Here is a 15642-nt window from a genome sequence, read left to right as displayed (position 1 = left end):
GTGAAACCCCATCTCTATTATAAATACAAAAACTTAGCTGGGCACGCATGTAGTCCCAGCTACTCAGGAGGCTGAGGTTGCACTGACCCGAGATCATGCCACTGCACTCCAGCCTGGGGGACAGTGAGACTCTGTCTTAAAAAAAAACAAAAACAAAAACAAAAAAAAAAAACAACACTTAATATTCAGGAAGTAAACAAGAGTGGAAAAAATATTTGTAGTATATATACCCAACAAAGAATATGTATGCAGAATCTATGAAAAACTCTGACAAATCAGTAAGAAAAAGGCAGACAACTCAATAGATAATCAAAGGACAACTTTAACAGGGATTCACAAAGGAGTATATCCAAATGCCAATAAACATATAAAAAGGAATTCAGCTTCATCATCATCAGAAGAATGCAAATTAAAACCATAATGAGAAACCACTATGTCCCACTAGAATAGATAAAATCTTAAAAGACTGGTAAAACCAAGTGTTGGTGAGGATGTGGAGCAACTATCACTTTCATACGTTATTAACAGAAGCATGAATTGGTTTAACCATTATGGAAAAGAGTCTGGTAGAACCTATTTAATCTGAATACATACATATCCAGATAGACCAGACAGATATAAGATGGACATATAAAAATCAGTAGTTTTCCTAAATACTACCATAGCCTGTTTAAAAATATAAAAAGTTTACTACAGCATCAAAAATATAAAAAGTTTACTACAGCATCAAAAATATAAACCATATAAGCTTAATTTAAAAATGTTAAGACTAGCTGGGTGTGGTGGCATGCATCTGTGGTCCCAGCTACTTGGGAGGCTGAGACAGGAGGATTGCCTAAGCCCAGGTGGTCAAAGCTGCAGTGAGCTGTGATCGTGCCACCTCACTCCAGCCTGAGTGACAGAGCAAGAACTTTTTTTTTTTGGATACCGAATCTCGCTCTGTCGCCCAGGCTGGAGTGCAATGGCTTGATCTCAGCTCACTGCAACCTCCGCCTCTTGGGTTCAAGTGATTCTTCTGCCTCAGCCTCAGGCGTGCGCCACCACGCCTGGCTAATTTTTCTATTTTTAGTAGAGATGGGGTTTCACCATGTTGGCCAGGCTGGTCTCAGACTCCTAAGCTCAGGTGATCCACCTGCCTTGGCTAGGATTACAGAGGTGAGCCACTGCGCCCAGCAGAGATAGAGAACTAAAAAAAAAAAATATATATATATATATATATATATATATATATATATATATATGTTCATAACGAGAGAACTATGAAGTTTTTACTAAGAACATAAAATAACATTTGAATAAACAAGGACAAATTATATTCCTAGTTGGGATATTCAATATTGCAAAGATGTTAGTGCTTCCTAAATTAATCTACAAATATAAGGTCTTTTCAGTCAAAATTCTAATGTGGTTTTTGGTAACTGACAATCTGATTTTACTTCATCTTTTTGAAAAAGGCCTAAGAATAAGCGAAAACATTTTGGAAAATAATAATGAAAGGAGATTTAAGCTATCAAATGAAATGGGATTTAAGATGTCAAAATGGGATATTAAGCTATAAATAATTATTACAACTGTGGTACTGGCATGGAAATGGTTCAATGAAGGAGGGAAGCACAGATATGAATACACACAGGATCATCTCAGAGGCTTCTGGAACTCAACCCTGACTAAACTAAAAGCATCACTTTCCCTCTTTACAAATGCTAATCATTCAGCAAGTGGCACAGCATCTACTCAGCTGCAAGCCAGATGCTTGCGAATCATCCTTATGCTTCTTCAAACCCGACATCCAGTTCGTCAGCAAGTCCAACAACCCTCAAACCCACTTGGCCGGTTCTGTAGATTTCACCACCTAAAAATATCCCCCATGATTCATATCCACTTTCAGCATCCCAGTTCGAGTTACCATCAATTTTTCCCTGGGTCATTGCTTTAGCATCTGATTAGGTTTCCCACACTCACTTTTATCCTCGTCCAATTTGTTCTCCAAATTACAGACAGCATGATCTTTTAAAATCACAAATGTAATTATGTAAATACCACTTAAAATTCTTTAATGCCTTCTCATGTTTTTAAGACAAAATGCAAAAATCCTTAATTTGGCCTATCATACTAGCTCATTAATGGGTAAACAGACTCCAGTCAGCTTCCACTGTATTAGAATATATCCTTTAACATAAAAGTAATATGGTGAAAAATTCAGTTATTTTTAATATGCCTTATTAATAAAGTAACTATAAAATGCTCTTAAACCTATACAATTTCACTCCAGGTTCAAGGATCTTCAAGTGTCCTGGTTTTCCTCTATTTGCCAAGAGGTAATGCTCCACCCTACTCCTCCAGGTTTTCTCAACTGCTCATTCCTTTGTATGGACCTTCCCTCATGCCCTTGCATAAAGGCACCTTTCTTAGAAAAGCCCTGAAGTGTGGGAAAAGGACAGGTCTCTTGTTATTTTCTCTCAAACCAACGGAATTTTCATTGTGATTCTGATTATTTATGTGAGTCTTTCCCACTATGGTAAGTTTGATGAGGGAAGGGTCACATTTGTTATTGTTTACTGTTACATTCTCAAAGTCTAGAACTGTGCCCAATAAATAGGTGTTTCTTAAATTTGCTGAACAAATTAAATATGAATTTTAATTATGTATATAGCGTTAAAACATAACGATGCCTTTATGGGCAACTCGTGAAGCTCAGTAAAAGACCATCCAATCATCAGGATTCAATTGCCTTAGCTACATCTCCCCTTTTGGGAGGGAGGTGGGAGGAGGACTTCTCAAATTGTGAGACGGTGTACAATATGCTGTCTAATTCTAACGTGAAGGATAATTTGTGAAATCAATCGGCTTAATGTGAACTAATCAGTTCAAAATCTCAGGGAAGTACTATGAAAAATTGTAGATTGTTTCCCTCTCCTTTACTCTGAAGAGAAAGTATAAATTAAGTTTAAATGACTTCCCCCCTACCAGATGACTTTGATATTCAAGGTTATATTCTAGTAAAAGAATAGTGAAGGTGTTTGAAGTCTGATTACCCATTAATAAAATACTATTCTTTTCAGGAATATACAGACTTTAGTTCTCTATTATTTTAAGGCCTCTGTTAATGGAAAACAAGAAAGTTCTTCTAGTCTTTCAGTACTTACAAGTGAAGGAACCGTGAATATCTGAACCGAGAGGTCTGCGACTGAAAACTCTCTGTCGTGGTCATCTGTCACATAATCACTCTGCAAACGCTCATAGTTCTATTAAGAAGGCAAAAAAAGGCAAGGAGTGCCAGCTATCAGTTACAAAGAAAAGGCAAGCACTACTCACCAGAGTAGGTGCGGTGAAGAACTGGACAGATAGAGCAGTCACCGACACTGCTCGCTCGTGATCATCCTCCATAAAATCTCTCTGCAACTGCTGGTAATTCTAAACAACAAGGGGGAGATTCACCTCTAATCCACAATGACCAAATGTTTAAGGATTATAATGAAAAGTCAGTGCTGGAGGAAGTCAAGAAGATAACACTGCTATGAGAACAATAACTGGAATGATTTCTACCAATAGAATCCTGTATAGATATTGATTCACTATGGAAACTGTGGAATCCTGTATAAATATCGATTCTTTCTTCTGGAGCACAATGGCAGTTTACCAGCCCAAATAGGCAGTAACAGCTACTAAGCTCCCAAGATGTCATTGTATGCTGGTGGAGCTAAACCACAGCAGCATTACACTGTTTCTGATGAAATCAGACTTTCATTACTTCTGCATCATATCAGAATCATCTGATGACTCTTCCAAAGCATACATGCTTGGGCCGCCATTCTTGGTGAATCTGTTTCAGTAGATTTGAGAATGGAACACAACACATGTATTTTGAAAGAGCTCTCCAAGTGATTCTCATATACTTCGTAATTCAGGTGAATGCAAAAAAATAAGTGGTTAGCTTATGCACATGCTGCTAAAAGGGAGAACTTAACTATATTAATAACCTAGAGTTCTGAAGAGACCTTGTTTCTTAAAAAAAAAAAAAGCAAAATACATGTTTTCCTTAGCATGAAATATTTGCAATCTATTTATAAAATCAAAGTTTTCTAAATATAATTTTCTAACAAAATATACAGGCTATTTAATTTGGATCATGCCCCCCCTCCAAAAAAAAATCTATTTTTTTTTAAAGACTAAGACTGCAATGCTAATTTTAAAATGCACAAATATATTTATTAAATCATATTCATATATATGTCATTTAAACTGAGATTAGTTTCCTTATATGAATTTTAATAGAAAAAAATACCATAATTCACAATGGCATAGGTTTAAACTCTTCATTTATTATTTCATAAACATTGTATAATAGATACTCATGTTATAGGAGGTGATGAACAAGGAGTCTCACGGCTAAAATTTTATTCTATTGATAAAGAATGAAAAGATTATTTATGAAGTTTCTTAGAATTTAATATCAACACATTGACATATTACTATTAGATGTTAATTTTTTGAAGCCTAGATATAATTATGGGCATAGTTACTCTATATATAACCTATTTTCAAAATTGAAAAGCCACTTACTTTTGCAAATCGAACAGCAAATAGTTTCTTGTATTTCAAATCCATAAGCAGACTGCTCATGAACAACTGATGATATACACTCCTAGCACCTTGTAGAAAAAGATCACGGTATAAGATAAGGACACGCCCAACAATTACATTTCTCAAGTGTTATGTGATCCACAGTGGGTTTTTTTTGTTTTGTTTTGTTTTTACTTTTGAGACAGTGTCTTGCTGTGTTGCCCAGGCTGGTCTTAACTCCTGGGCTCACGCGATCCTCCTGCCTTGGCCTCCCACAGTGCTGGCATTACAAATGTGAACCACCATGCCCAGCCAACACAGCATTTTTTTTTTTTTTTAGGGTCTTGCTTTGTTGCCCAGGCTGAACTCAAACTCCTAGCTCAAGTGATCCTCTTGCCTCAGCCTCCTGTGTAGCTGAGACTACAGGCACACACCACTGAGACTGGCTTGTATTTTAAGTCTCAAAAACAAAGAAAGCCATACATGGTGGTATGTACATGTAGTCCCAGCTACTAGGGAGGCTGAGAAGGGAGGATTGCTTGAGTCCAAGAGTTGGAGGCTGCAGTGATCAATGATCATGCCACTGCACTCCTGTTGCCTGGGCAACAGAGTGAGATCCTGTCCCTTCAAAAAAGGAGCAAAATACATATTTTCCTTAGCACAAAATATTTGCAATTTGTTTATAAAACCAAGTTTTCTAAACATAATTCTGTAACAAAATATAAAGTCCATTTAAGTTGGATCATGGACCCCACCCCACCAAATCTATATTTTTCAAAGACTAAGACTGCAATGCTAATTTTAAGAAGCACAAATATATGTATTAAATATCTTCCCAAATGATAAAAACCTTTCACATCCCAATTACTTATATAGGTTCCTCTACACCTTAAAAGTAGTTAAGAGATTCACCTTTCCATAATTTGGAATCACTAAGCATCAGTCTGTCCACTAGAGAAGAGTTTTCACCATCTGGCCCTTCTTGTAAACCAACTTGACATAAAATCCGGCGAAGGCCATCTTTAAATAGAAGGAAAGGTAGAATGAGATAGCAACTTCAAATATTAAAATAGTGACATTTTAGTAGATGTTCAAATGGATCTGTAGAGTTTTAAATGTTTTCTTAAAGTTCAAATTTATTCAGAAAAGGCAAACATATTAACTGTTTTATTAATATTTTAACAAAAAGGAAATAAATTTCAAATCTCACATCACACACCATTACTCCTGAAAGTCAAAATATATGCCTATCATAAAGGCAATAACCTCTTGTGCTTTAATGAATTTAATTAAAGAGAAAAACATCCAAAAAACCACTTAATATTGTTCTTCAAGCACTTATGCTAATTAAACCAGATTACAGTGAAAGTGTTATACATTCCATAATTGAAATATAAAATGTGCTACCATTTAAAAGGAGGAATGCATGACTTCTGCATTATAATATATAGCAATGCATTTTATTAATGCTACAGAAAAAATTCTTCATTCATTAAACAAAAACTTATTGTGGACTTGGCATGTGAGACCCTGGAAAACATATTACTACAACCTTTTAAATGTAAACTTCAGAAACGTTCTTCAAATATTAATATAAGCATTAAAATAACCAAAGCTTTAACACTTATTTGTTCCATACATATATATGTACGTACATACATATATATGTACGTACGTACATACATACGTATGTATGTACGTACATACATATATACACACATACACACATATATACACACATACATACACACATACACATATACACATATATACATACCCATATACGCACATATATGTACATGCATACATATATATGTACGTGTGTGTGTATATATATGTGCGCGCGTGTGTGTGTGTGTGTGTGTGTGTGTGTATATATATATAGTTTTTTTTTTTTTTTTTTTTTTTTTTTTGGAGACAGAGTCTTACTCTGTCACCCAGGCTGCAGTGCGGTGATGTGATCTTGGCTCACTGCAACCTCTGCCTCCTGGGTTCACGCAATTCCTGTGCCTCAGCCTCCCAAGTACCTGGGATTACAGGCATGCACCACCACGCCTGGCTAATTTTTGTATTTTTAGTACAGACGGGGTTTCACACCATGTTGGCCAGGCTGGTCTTGAACTCTTGGGCTCAAGTGACCCACTTGCCTTAGCCTCTCAAAGTGCTGGGATTACCAGCATGAGCCACTGCACCTGGCCCCATACTTCATAATTTAAATCACTGTTTTCATCTTTTTCAAGCATGCAAAATTAAAAAAAAAATGGAATAACTTTCAATTATAAAAGCTGTCAAACAGAAATCCTTTAAAAGGCTAAAGACCTATGTAAGTATTAAATAGCAATATATAAATTATTAATGATTAATATCTCAAAGAAAATTTTCAGCAGGACATTACTTCCATTATACTCTTCAGTAATACTGTAGCACAACACTTGGCATGCAGGTATCCAATGGAAAACACCAAAATAAAGAACATAGGACTAAGAAAAATAACTGTAAAGATATTTATTTTCTTTTAAAAAAAATTTTAGATAGAGATGGGGTCTCCCTATATTACCCAGGCTGGTCTATGAACTCCTGGGCTCGAGGGATCGTCCCACCACAGCCTCCCAGAGTGTTATGACTAGAGGAGTGGGCCACCGTGTCAGCCTGGAAAGATAACTTTTAAATTATCTTTTAAAGTAAACGCGTTCTCTTAATCTTCCACACCTTCATATTTTCAACTCTCAGTTCTGTGTAGTAATGCTCTTTTCTAAAAGCCCTTCAATACAAATGTATTCAAATTTTTCTTTACAGTAAACATCTGAATGTCACTTATCCACAGTGTTGCCTGAAGAATAGCATAACAGCTTATATCTATCCCTGTTTTACCCTTTAGTGTTACACACCAGGCTTGTATTTTTGGTTGCAGATGTGAGGATTCTTAATTCTTACCATTACATAAAGAGAAAAATGACCGAATTTCTAGACTCTGGAATTTTTTTTTTTTTGAAACAGAGTTTCACTCTTTTGCCCAGGCTGGAGCAAAGTGGCGTGATGTTGGCTCACTGCAACCTCTGCTTCCTGGGTTCAAGTGATTCTCCTGCCTCAGCCTCCTGAGTAGCTGGGATTACAGGAACATGCCACCACGCCTGGCTAATTTTTGTATTTTTAGTAGAGATGAGGTTTTGCCATGTTGGTCAGGCTGGTCTTGAACTCCTGACCTCAGGTTATCCACCCACCTTGGCCTCCCAAAGTGCTAGGATTACAGGCATGAGCCATGGCACCTGGCCAAAAATTTTTTAAAAACGCAAATTGGTAACTTCCAATTTACAAATTTTCAGTGTTGCAAATTATTGGTAACCAAAGTTGTTGGAGTCAAATCACATAAATCAACATTAGTGTTTTATCGTTTAAACAGCTAATCACTTAGGTTTTTATTTACAGCAGCATTTTTCCAGCTTACTCAGTAGAAGAGTTCTGCAAAATGCTCCACTAAAAAAAGTTTAAAAAAAAATTGTTTGTGAAATGTACATTGCATTGCATTAGCATATTAATGTCCTTTACAATTGTTTAAACCAATGTTTCCTGAATTTATTTGAATAGAGAATCCTTTGTGTGCATATAAAAAATATCCAGTATGACCAAATTTGTTAAACATAGGTTTTCTTCTATGCATAAAGATATTTTGAAATGGTATTTTAAAATGTAAAATTAAAGCAGGAAATTATTCCAGTTGATAGTTTTCCCAAAACAGTTTTGCAACAGCATATTGAGCTCATTTTTAATAGACAATTGGCATGAACTTTTATGAACCTACCTGAATATCCAATAATACTTCCCAGCCAAGACAAAAGTTTCAAACCAAAATTCTGATGTGCGACAATAGACGAATGCATAACTTGAACTTTGAGTGGCTTTGTCTGTCTACTGGTATTTCTCTTAAAAAGAAATGGCAAGATTTAAAAATTAACTTAAAAAGCTATTCTATTGGCAGAACAAAGTTATTATTTTTACTTAATATAACCACACTATCATCATCATAGGAGACTTTTTCATGGATGTAAGAAAAACACCATTCTCCTTGCCTTACTTGATTCAGATCCTAATTTTCTAGAGGAAATCTTAGGATTCATACAAAAAAATACGAAGGTTCAGCTAGTTTATGAGTAATCTGAATCTTTTTTTTTTTTTTTTCTTTTTTTGAGGTGGAGTCTCGCTCTGTCACCCAGGCTGGAGTGCAGTGGAGCAATCTCGGCTCACCGCAACCTCCACCTCTTGGGTCCAAGTGATTCTTCTGCCCTCAGCCTCCCAAGGAGCTGGGACTACAGACATGCGCCACGACGCCTGGCTAACTGTTGTATTTTTAGTAGAGACAGGGTTTCACTATGTTAGCCAGGCTGGTCTTGAACTCCTGACCTCAAGTGATCCACCTGCCTCAGTCTCCCAAAGCACTGGGATTACAGGTGTGAGCCACTGCGCCTGACCAGTAATCTGAATCTTTAGTCCTATATTTGAAAATCTGCTGTACCAATAATAAATGATTTAAATGTTTTAGCTTGCTTTATGTCTTTAATTTCTCAATATAATTATGTACTTATTTAAATAATTTATTGCATAGATGTGATGTTATCAACTTTTTTTTTTTTTTTGAGATGGAGTCTAGCTCTGTCACCAGGCTGGAGTGCAGTAGCACAATCTCTGCTCACTGTAACCTCTGCCTCCCAGTTTCAAGCAATTCTCCTGCCTCAGCTTCCCGAGTAGCTGGGACTACAGGCATGCGCCACCACGTTTGGCTAATTTTTGTATTTTTAGTAGAAACAGGGTTTCACCATGTTGGCCAGGATGGTCTCGATCTCTTGATCTCGTGATCCCCCCACCTCGGCCTCCCAAAGTGCTGGGATTACAGGCGTGAGCCACCGCGCCCAGCCCATGTTATCAACTTTTTTTTTTTTTTTTAAATCATGGCTGGGCACGGTAGCTCACACCTGTAATCCCAGCACTTTGGAAGGCTGAGGCAGGCGGATCACCTGAGGTCAGGAGTTCGAGACCAGCCTCACCAACATGGTGAAACCCCGTCTCTACTAAAAATACAAAAATTAGCCGAGCGTGGTGGAGCATGCCTGTAATCCCAGCTACTTAGGAGGCTGAGGCAGGAGAATCGCTTCAACCTGGGAGGTGAAGGTTGCGGTGAGCTGAGATCGCGCCATTGCACTCCAACCTGAGCAACAAGAGCAAAACTCCGTCTCAAAAAAAAAAAAAAGGTAAAATACATATAAAACTTTCATCTTAGCCATTTTTACGTGTACAGTTCAGTATTGTTAAGTACATTCATACTGTTGTGAAACTAGTCCCCAGAATTCTGTATCTTGCAAAAGTGAAACTCGCCATAATACCTAATAAAGAGCAAGTCCCTGCTACTTTCTTCCCCTAGCACCTAGCAACCACCATCTGTCTCTTTCTGTTTCTATGGATATGACAATGCTAGGTAGGTCATATAAGTAGAATCATATGCTATTTATCTTTTTGTTACCGGCTTATTTCACTTAGCATAATGTTCTCAAGATCCATTCATGTTGTAGCATGTATCAGAACTTCCTTCCTTTTTAAGACTGAGTAATGTACCATTGCATGTATATACCACATTTTGTTTCTCCATTCCTTCATTAGCAGACACTTGGGTTGCTGCTACCTTTTGGCTATTGTGAATTATGATGCTTGAACGGGGGTGTAAAATATCTCTTTGAAACCTGTTTTCAATTATTTTGCATATATACCTAGAAGCAAAATTGCTGGATCACATGGTAATTCTATTTTTAATGTTTTGAGGAATTGCTGGACTGTTTCCCACAGTGGCTATACCATTTTACCTTCCTACCAGTAGTGCACAAAGGTTTTAATTTCTCCATATCCTTGCCAACACTTTTTTTCCCTTAGAGACGGAGTCTTGCTATGTTGCCCAGAGGCTATTCACAGGTACCATGATCACATACTACAGCCTTGAACTCCTGGGCTCAAGCAATCCTCCTGCCTCAGCCTCCAGAGTAGCTGAGACTATAGGTGCATGCCTATCCATTTTTATTTATATATTTATTTATTTTTTTGACAGAAGCCATCCTAATAGGTGTGAGGTGGTATCTTAACTGCTTGTGTATCTGCTCCAGAGAAATGTCTATTCAAATCTATCAACATCTTTTTTTTTCTTTTTTTTTTTTTGTAACAGGGTTTCACTCTGTTGCCCAGGCTGGAATGCAATGGTGTTGATAACAGCTCACTGCAGCCTCAACCTCCCGGGCTCAAGCAATCCTCTTACCTTAGCTTCCCAAATAGTTGGGACTGCAGGTGTGTGCCACCACGCCTGGCTAATTTTTGTTATTATTTTTTTTTTTTGTAGGAATGGGATTTTGCCATGTTGCTTAGGCTGGTCTCAAACTCTTGGGTTTAAGCAATCTGCCTGCCTTGGCCTCCCAAAATGCTGGGATTACAGGAGTGAGCCGATGTGCTTGGCCAACACTTTTTAAGAATGTATTTACTCCTTTTTATTTTTTTTTGGATCCTCCTTTTACTCTCTGCTCCATCCTTTCTCTATAACATATATTAACATAGTAAGTTTTTGTATATGGTCTCCATTTACACATATTTACACACACATTTCTAAAGATCTGTTAGTTTGACTTATGAAAATCAAATACTACACATGCTTTTGTGCATCTTAGCTTTCATTGATTTTTTTTCTGTTAATGACTGCATAATATTCTGTGGTGTGGACTTATTAAAACATCCTTCAGAGAAGGGCATTCATCGTCTCTGTCTCCAGTCCTCTGTGACTACAAAAAAAGCAGTACTGTACTGAACACACTGTATACACACTTACTGGTACTTGTATTTCTATGAGATAAATTCCTAGGTGAGGTAAAGCTTTAACACGTTACTAGACTGTTTTCCCTAAATGCTGTAGCAATTTATTGTTAAGCATGTATTCCCAGTCTTTGCATCTCTTCAAGATATTTTATCACTCTAACTTCATGTATATTGACCAGCTAGATTTTCTGTTATGATCTGTCTTTTCATATCCTTTGTCCATTTTCTATTTTATTGTTTGTTCCCTACTTGATAATCTGTAAGTACAGTTTCTGATACATTATTAAATTGAATATGTTGAGACATTAAGGAAGAATTTCTTAAACAAGTCATAAAACATACAAATTATAAAGAAAAATATATCTTTTGCTACATTAAAATTTAAAGTTTTTGCTCAATGAAAGGCACCACAACAAACTTAAATGAATAAGAAAAAGACAATCCAACAGAAAAAATAAGAATATGCATAGGAAATTTGCCAAAAAGAAAACTTAAATGACCAATAGAACAAATATAAAATAAGATACTTAAAAATCAAGGAAAATGCAAATTTAACTGATGAACTACCATTTCACACACATCAGATTGGCAAGTTTTTTTTGTTTTTTGTTTTTTCTTCTTAACACAAGATCTTGTTCTGTCACCCAGGCTAGAGTGTACTCGTGTAATCAAAGCTCACTATACCCTTGGACTCCTGGGCTCAGGCAATCCTTCTACCTCAGCCTCCTGAGTAGCTAGGACTACATGTGTGCACCATCATTCCTGGCTAATTTTTTAAATTTTTTTTTGTAGAGTCGGGGTCTTGCTCTGTTGCCCAGGCTGGTCCCAAACTCTTGGCCTCAAGCGATCCTCTTGCCTCTGCTTTCCAAAATGCTAGGATTACAGGATTACAGATGTGAGCCCCAGTGTCTGGCCCAGATTGGCAAAATTTAAAAATTTGACAATATATAGTTTTAACAAAGATGTGGAGAAACAGGCCCTCTTATATACTGCTGGTGGGAAAGTATATTAGTACCACAGTTTTGGAGATGAACTAGGCAAAATCTAGTAAAGCTGAGAATGTCCATACCCTAAAAACTCAGAAATTCCATTTCTTGGTATATACCGTAGGGAAACTTTTGTATCTATGTAAAAAGGAGACAAAATAATGCCCATAACGGGAGTATTTGTCACAGCAAAAAACTGAAAACATCCTAATTGTCTATCAACAGGAGAATAAATAAATTGTGGTTTAATCATCATGAAATACTATACAATGTTTAAAACATGAATGAACTACAGCAACACTTATCAACACAGATAAACCTAAAAACAACACTGAAATGAAAAGGCAAGCTGCAGTGTAATACATTCAATATGTATCTTGTTACATAATGTTTAAAGACCCCTATATAATGTTGATGGATATTTAATATATGAAATATAAAGGAACGCACAAGAATGAAAAAAGTAAATTAAGCAAAGTAATTATTGCTAGGGAAGGAGAAAGGATAATGGGGGAAACCCCTTCTCTACTAAAAAAAAAAAAAAAAAAAAAACAGCTGGGAGTGGTGGGACATGCCTGTCCTCCCAGCTGGGAGTGGTGGGACATGCCTGTCCTCCCAGCTACTCAAGAGGCTGAGGCACAAGAACTGCTTGAACCCAGGAGGCAGAGGTTGCAGTGAGTGGAGATCATGCCACTAAACCCCAGCCTGGGTGACAGAGTAAGACTCTGTCTCAAACAACAACAACAAAATGATAATAATACAGGGGCCTCCATATTATTTTATATATTTAAAAGAAATTTGAGGTGTGGTGGCTCACACCTGTAATCCCAACACTTTGGGAGTCTGAGGTGGGTGGATCACTTGAGCCCAGGAGTTTGAGACCAGCCTGGATAACATGGTGAAACCCCATCTCTACTAGAAATACAAAAATTAGCTGGGCGTGGCTGTGTGCACTTGTAATCCCAGTTACTTGGAAGGCTGAGGCTGAATCACTTGAACCCAGGAGGCAGAGGAAGTTGCAGTGAGCCGAGATTGCACCACTGCACTCCAGCCTGGGCAACAGAGACTATTCGGAAAAAAAAAAAAAAGATAAAATTATTTTTTAAAAAGAATATTTACATAAAATTCAGTTACATGGAATGGTGAAAAATAAATTCTAATTTCTAAAAATAAATCCAAATGTGGAGAATAGTTTGTGCTTTTAGAAAGATGATACACTACTTGCTATGAGGATATGGAATATATTTTGCCATAAGGTACCAAGAAACAACTTTGCTTGCATTATAATCATGGTGCTTAAGGCCATTTAAATTTCTAAGAAGTAACACAAAATTCTACTAATTAAAAACAAAACAGAAAGCGAAAAACATTCTAAGACTGCTTTGATGGAGAAATGGGAATATATCTTATCTAAATACTCATTTTCTATATCAATCCTACACAGCTTTAAAAAACTAGATAAAACAATAATGCAATATTTAAGAAACATTATCTTTAAACATAATTTTTGGTTTTCATTTGAGAAAGCAGAAAGACATGTTCATAAATGCTGAAATATGAAGCTAGTTTTAAACTAATAAAAAATAATATAAGCATGTTTTTAAATTACTTACCACAATTACTGATTTTGCTTGCTCACAATACTGAAAATCTCCATATCGAACAGACCTACGCCCCTGTAAAGATATTTAAAATTAAGCTGTAAAAGTATTGTATTCAATATTAATAACTTTTAAACCAGTAAACAAACATGTTTAAGCATATAACAATTCTGATCAATTTTCAATATTTACAATGCTCATCCTACTCATTGATAAGTTAGTTAAAATTTTCCTTCAAAGCTATGCTAACTTTTCCAAGCCATTAATAAATATTTCCTTGAACAAAACATTTATTATTTTAGGCATCTATAATTTCCATTTTAATAACTATATGTTCTCTTAAACTTTCTATTGGCAATAGCTTATAGTTATACCCAATATACATTTGGGCCAATATTCAAATGAAATTTTTTTTTTTTTTGAGATGGAGTCTCGCTTTGTCGCCCAGGCTCGAGTGCAATGGCGCAATCTCGGCTCACTGCAACCTCTGCCTCCCAGGTTCAAGCAATTCTCCTGCCTCAGCCTCCTGAGTAGCTGGGATTACCGGCTCATGCCACTACACCTGGCTAATTTTTGTATTTTTAGTAAAGATGGGGTTTCACCATGTTAGTCAGGCTGGTCTCGAACTCCTGACCTCGTGATCTGCCTGCCTTGGCCTCCCAAAGTGCTGAGATTACAGGCATGACAAATGAAATTTTAAGAAAAGCCTAGATATATATATCTTTAACTCAATTCTCCAGTTACCTATAGTAACTTACCTATAGTAAAAATTCAATTTATTATCAACATGGTAAAATTACTTACATCTCGATCTACTGTAGTTGCAAAACCAATAGCTTCTTTTTGTGTACAGTTAACAGCTTTCTGAAGAGTATAAATAACTTGTTCATAGGTGTGAACCTCATCATTAAACAGCATGCAATAGTAGGTGTCACTCTTCTCTCTGTGTGATAAAATATTCATGATATATTATCTATTTGTTTATTATCTTGCTCCAGGCTGACTTATTAAGAGACTACTTTGTCCTATGCAATGTGCTAGGTACTGGACACATATCTGTAAAGAATTCATCTGTGGTCCTATGCTCTGTGATACTACAGTCTGGTGGGGAAAATATATATTGCATATATGACTCTGTGTAAACAGGTTTTTATCAAGAAAAGAAGGTAGAGCAGGGTATAACAGGCCTGGGAGCTCAGAGAACTCTTGGAGAAGTAATCTGAGACCTGAAGTCAGAATTGGCTATCAGTAGCTCTCAACTGGGGGCAATTCCCCTCCACCTCTCATAGTTGACCATTTGGCAACATCTGGAGACATTTCTGGTTGTCAAGACTGGGGCTTTGGGTGCTGCTGGCATCTAGTGGGTAGAAGCCAGGGATGCTGCTAAATATCTTGCAATTCACCAGACAGCCCCCATAACAAAAAATTAATCTGGCCCCTAATTCCAACACTGCCAAGGTTGAGAAACCATGGGCTAGAGGCAGGTGAAAGCAAAGGTGCTAAGGTGGCAAAGGTAAATACTGGGAGATGGAGCACAAGGAAGAAGGGGGAGATTAGTATGACACTAGTCTGGTCTGGAGAGAGACAGAAATCTTGCACAGTTTATAATGGTTTTTTTTGTTTTTTGTTTTTTTTTTGAGATAGGGTCTCAC

At 36.8% G+C, this 15642-nt stretch overlaps 1 protein-coding gene across 9 annotated transcripts in view; it reads right to left on the bottom strand.

Moving 5' to 3' along the window:
- Window positions 1–15642, bottom strand: part of UBR2 (ubiquitin protein ligase E3 component n-recognin 2) — a 129477-nt gene that overhangs the window by 72852 nt on the left and 40983 nt on the right. For 6 of the 9 annotated variants that reach the window (XM_011514438.3, NM_001363705.2, XM_047418493.1 and 3 more), the window contains exons 6-11: window positions 14795–14933; window positions 14003–14065; window positions 8363–8483; window positions 5476–5583; window positions 4564–4652; window positions 3147–3245 (exon numbers count right to left, since the gene is read on the bottom strand). In XM_011514438.3, the coding sequence (XP_011512740.2) occupies window positions 3147–3245; window positions 4564–4652; window positions 5476–5583; window positions 8363–8483; window positions 14003–14065; window positions 14795–14933 (619 nt within the window). Of the gene's footprint in view, window positions 1–302; window positions 1187–3146; window positions 3246–3315; window positions 3415–4563; window positions 4653–5475; window positions 5584–8362; window positions 8484–14002; window positions 14066–14794; window positions 14934–15642 lie in introns of those variants that run through there. The other 3 variants (XM_017010594.2, NM_015255.3, NM_001184801.2) reach the window with 2 other exon arrangements.

The sequence above is a fragment of the Homo sapiens genome, chromosome 6, assembly GCF_000001405.40.
Source record: "Homo sapiens chromosome 6, GRCh38.p14 Primary Assembly".
NCBI lineage: Eukaryota > Metazoa > Chordata > Mammalia > Primates > Hominidae > Homo > Homo sapiens.
Note: the sequence above shows the minus strand (reverse complement) of the source record. Positions and strands in the feature narration are given on the sequence as shown.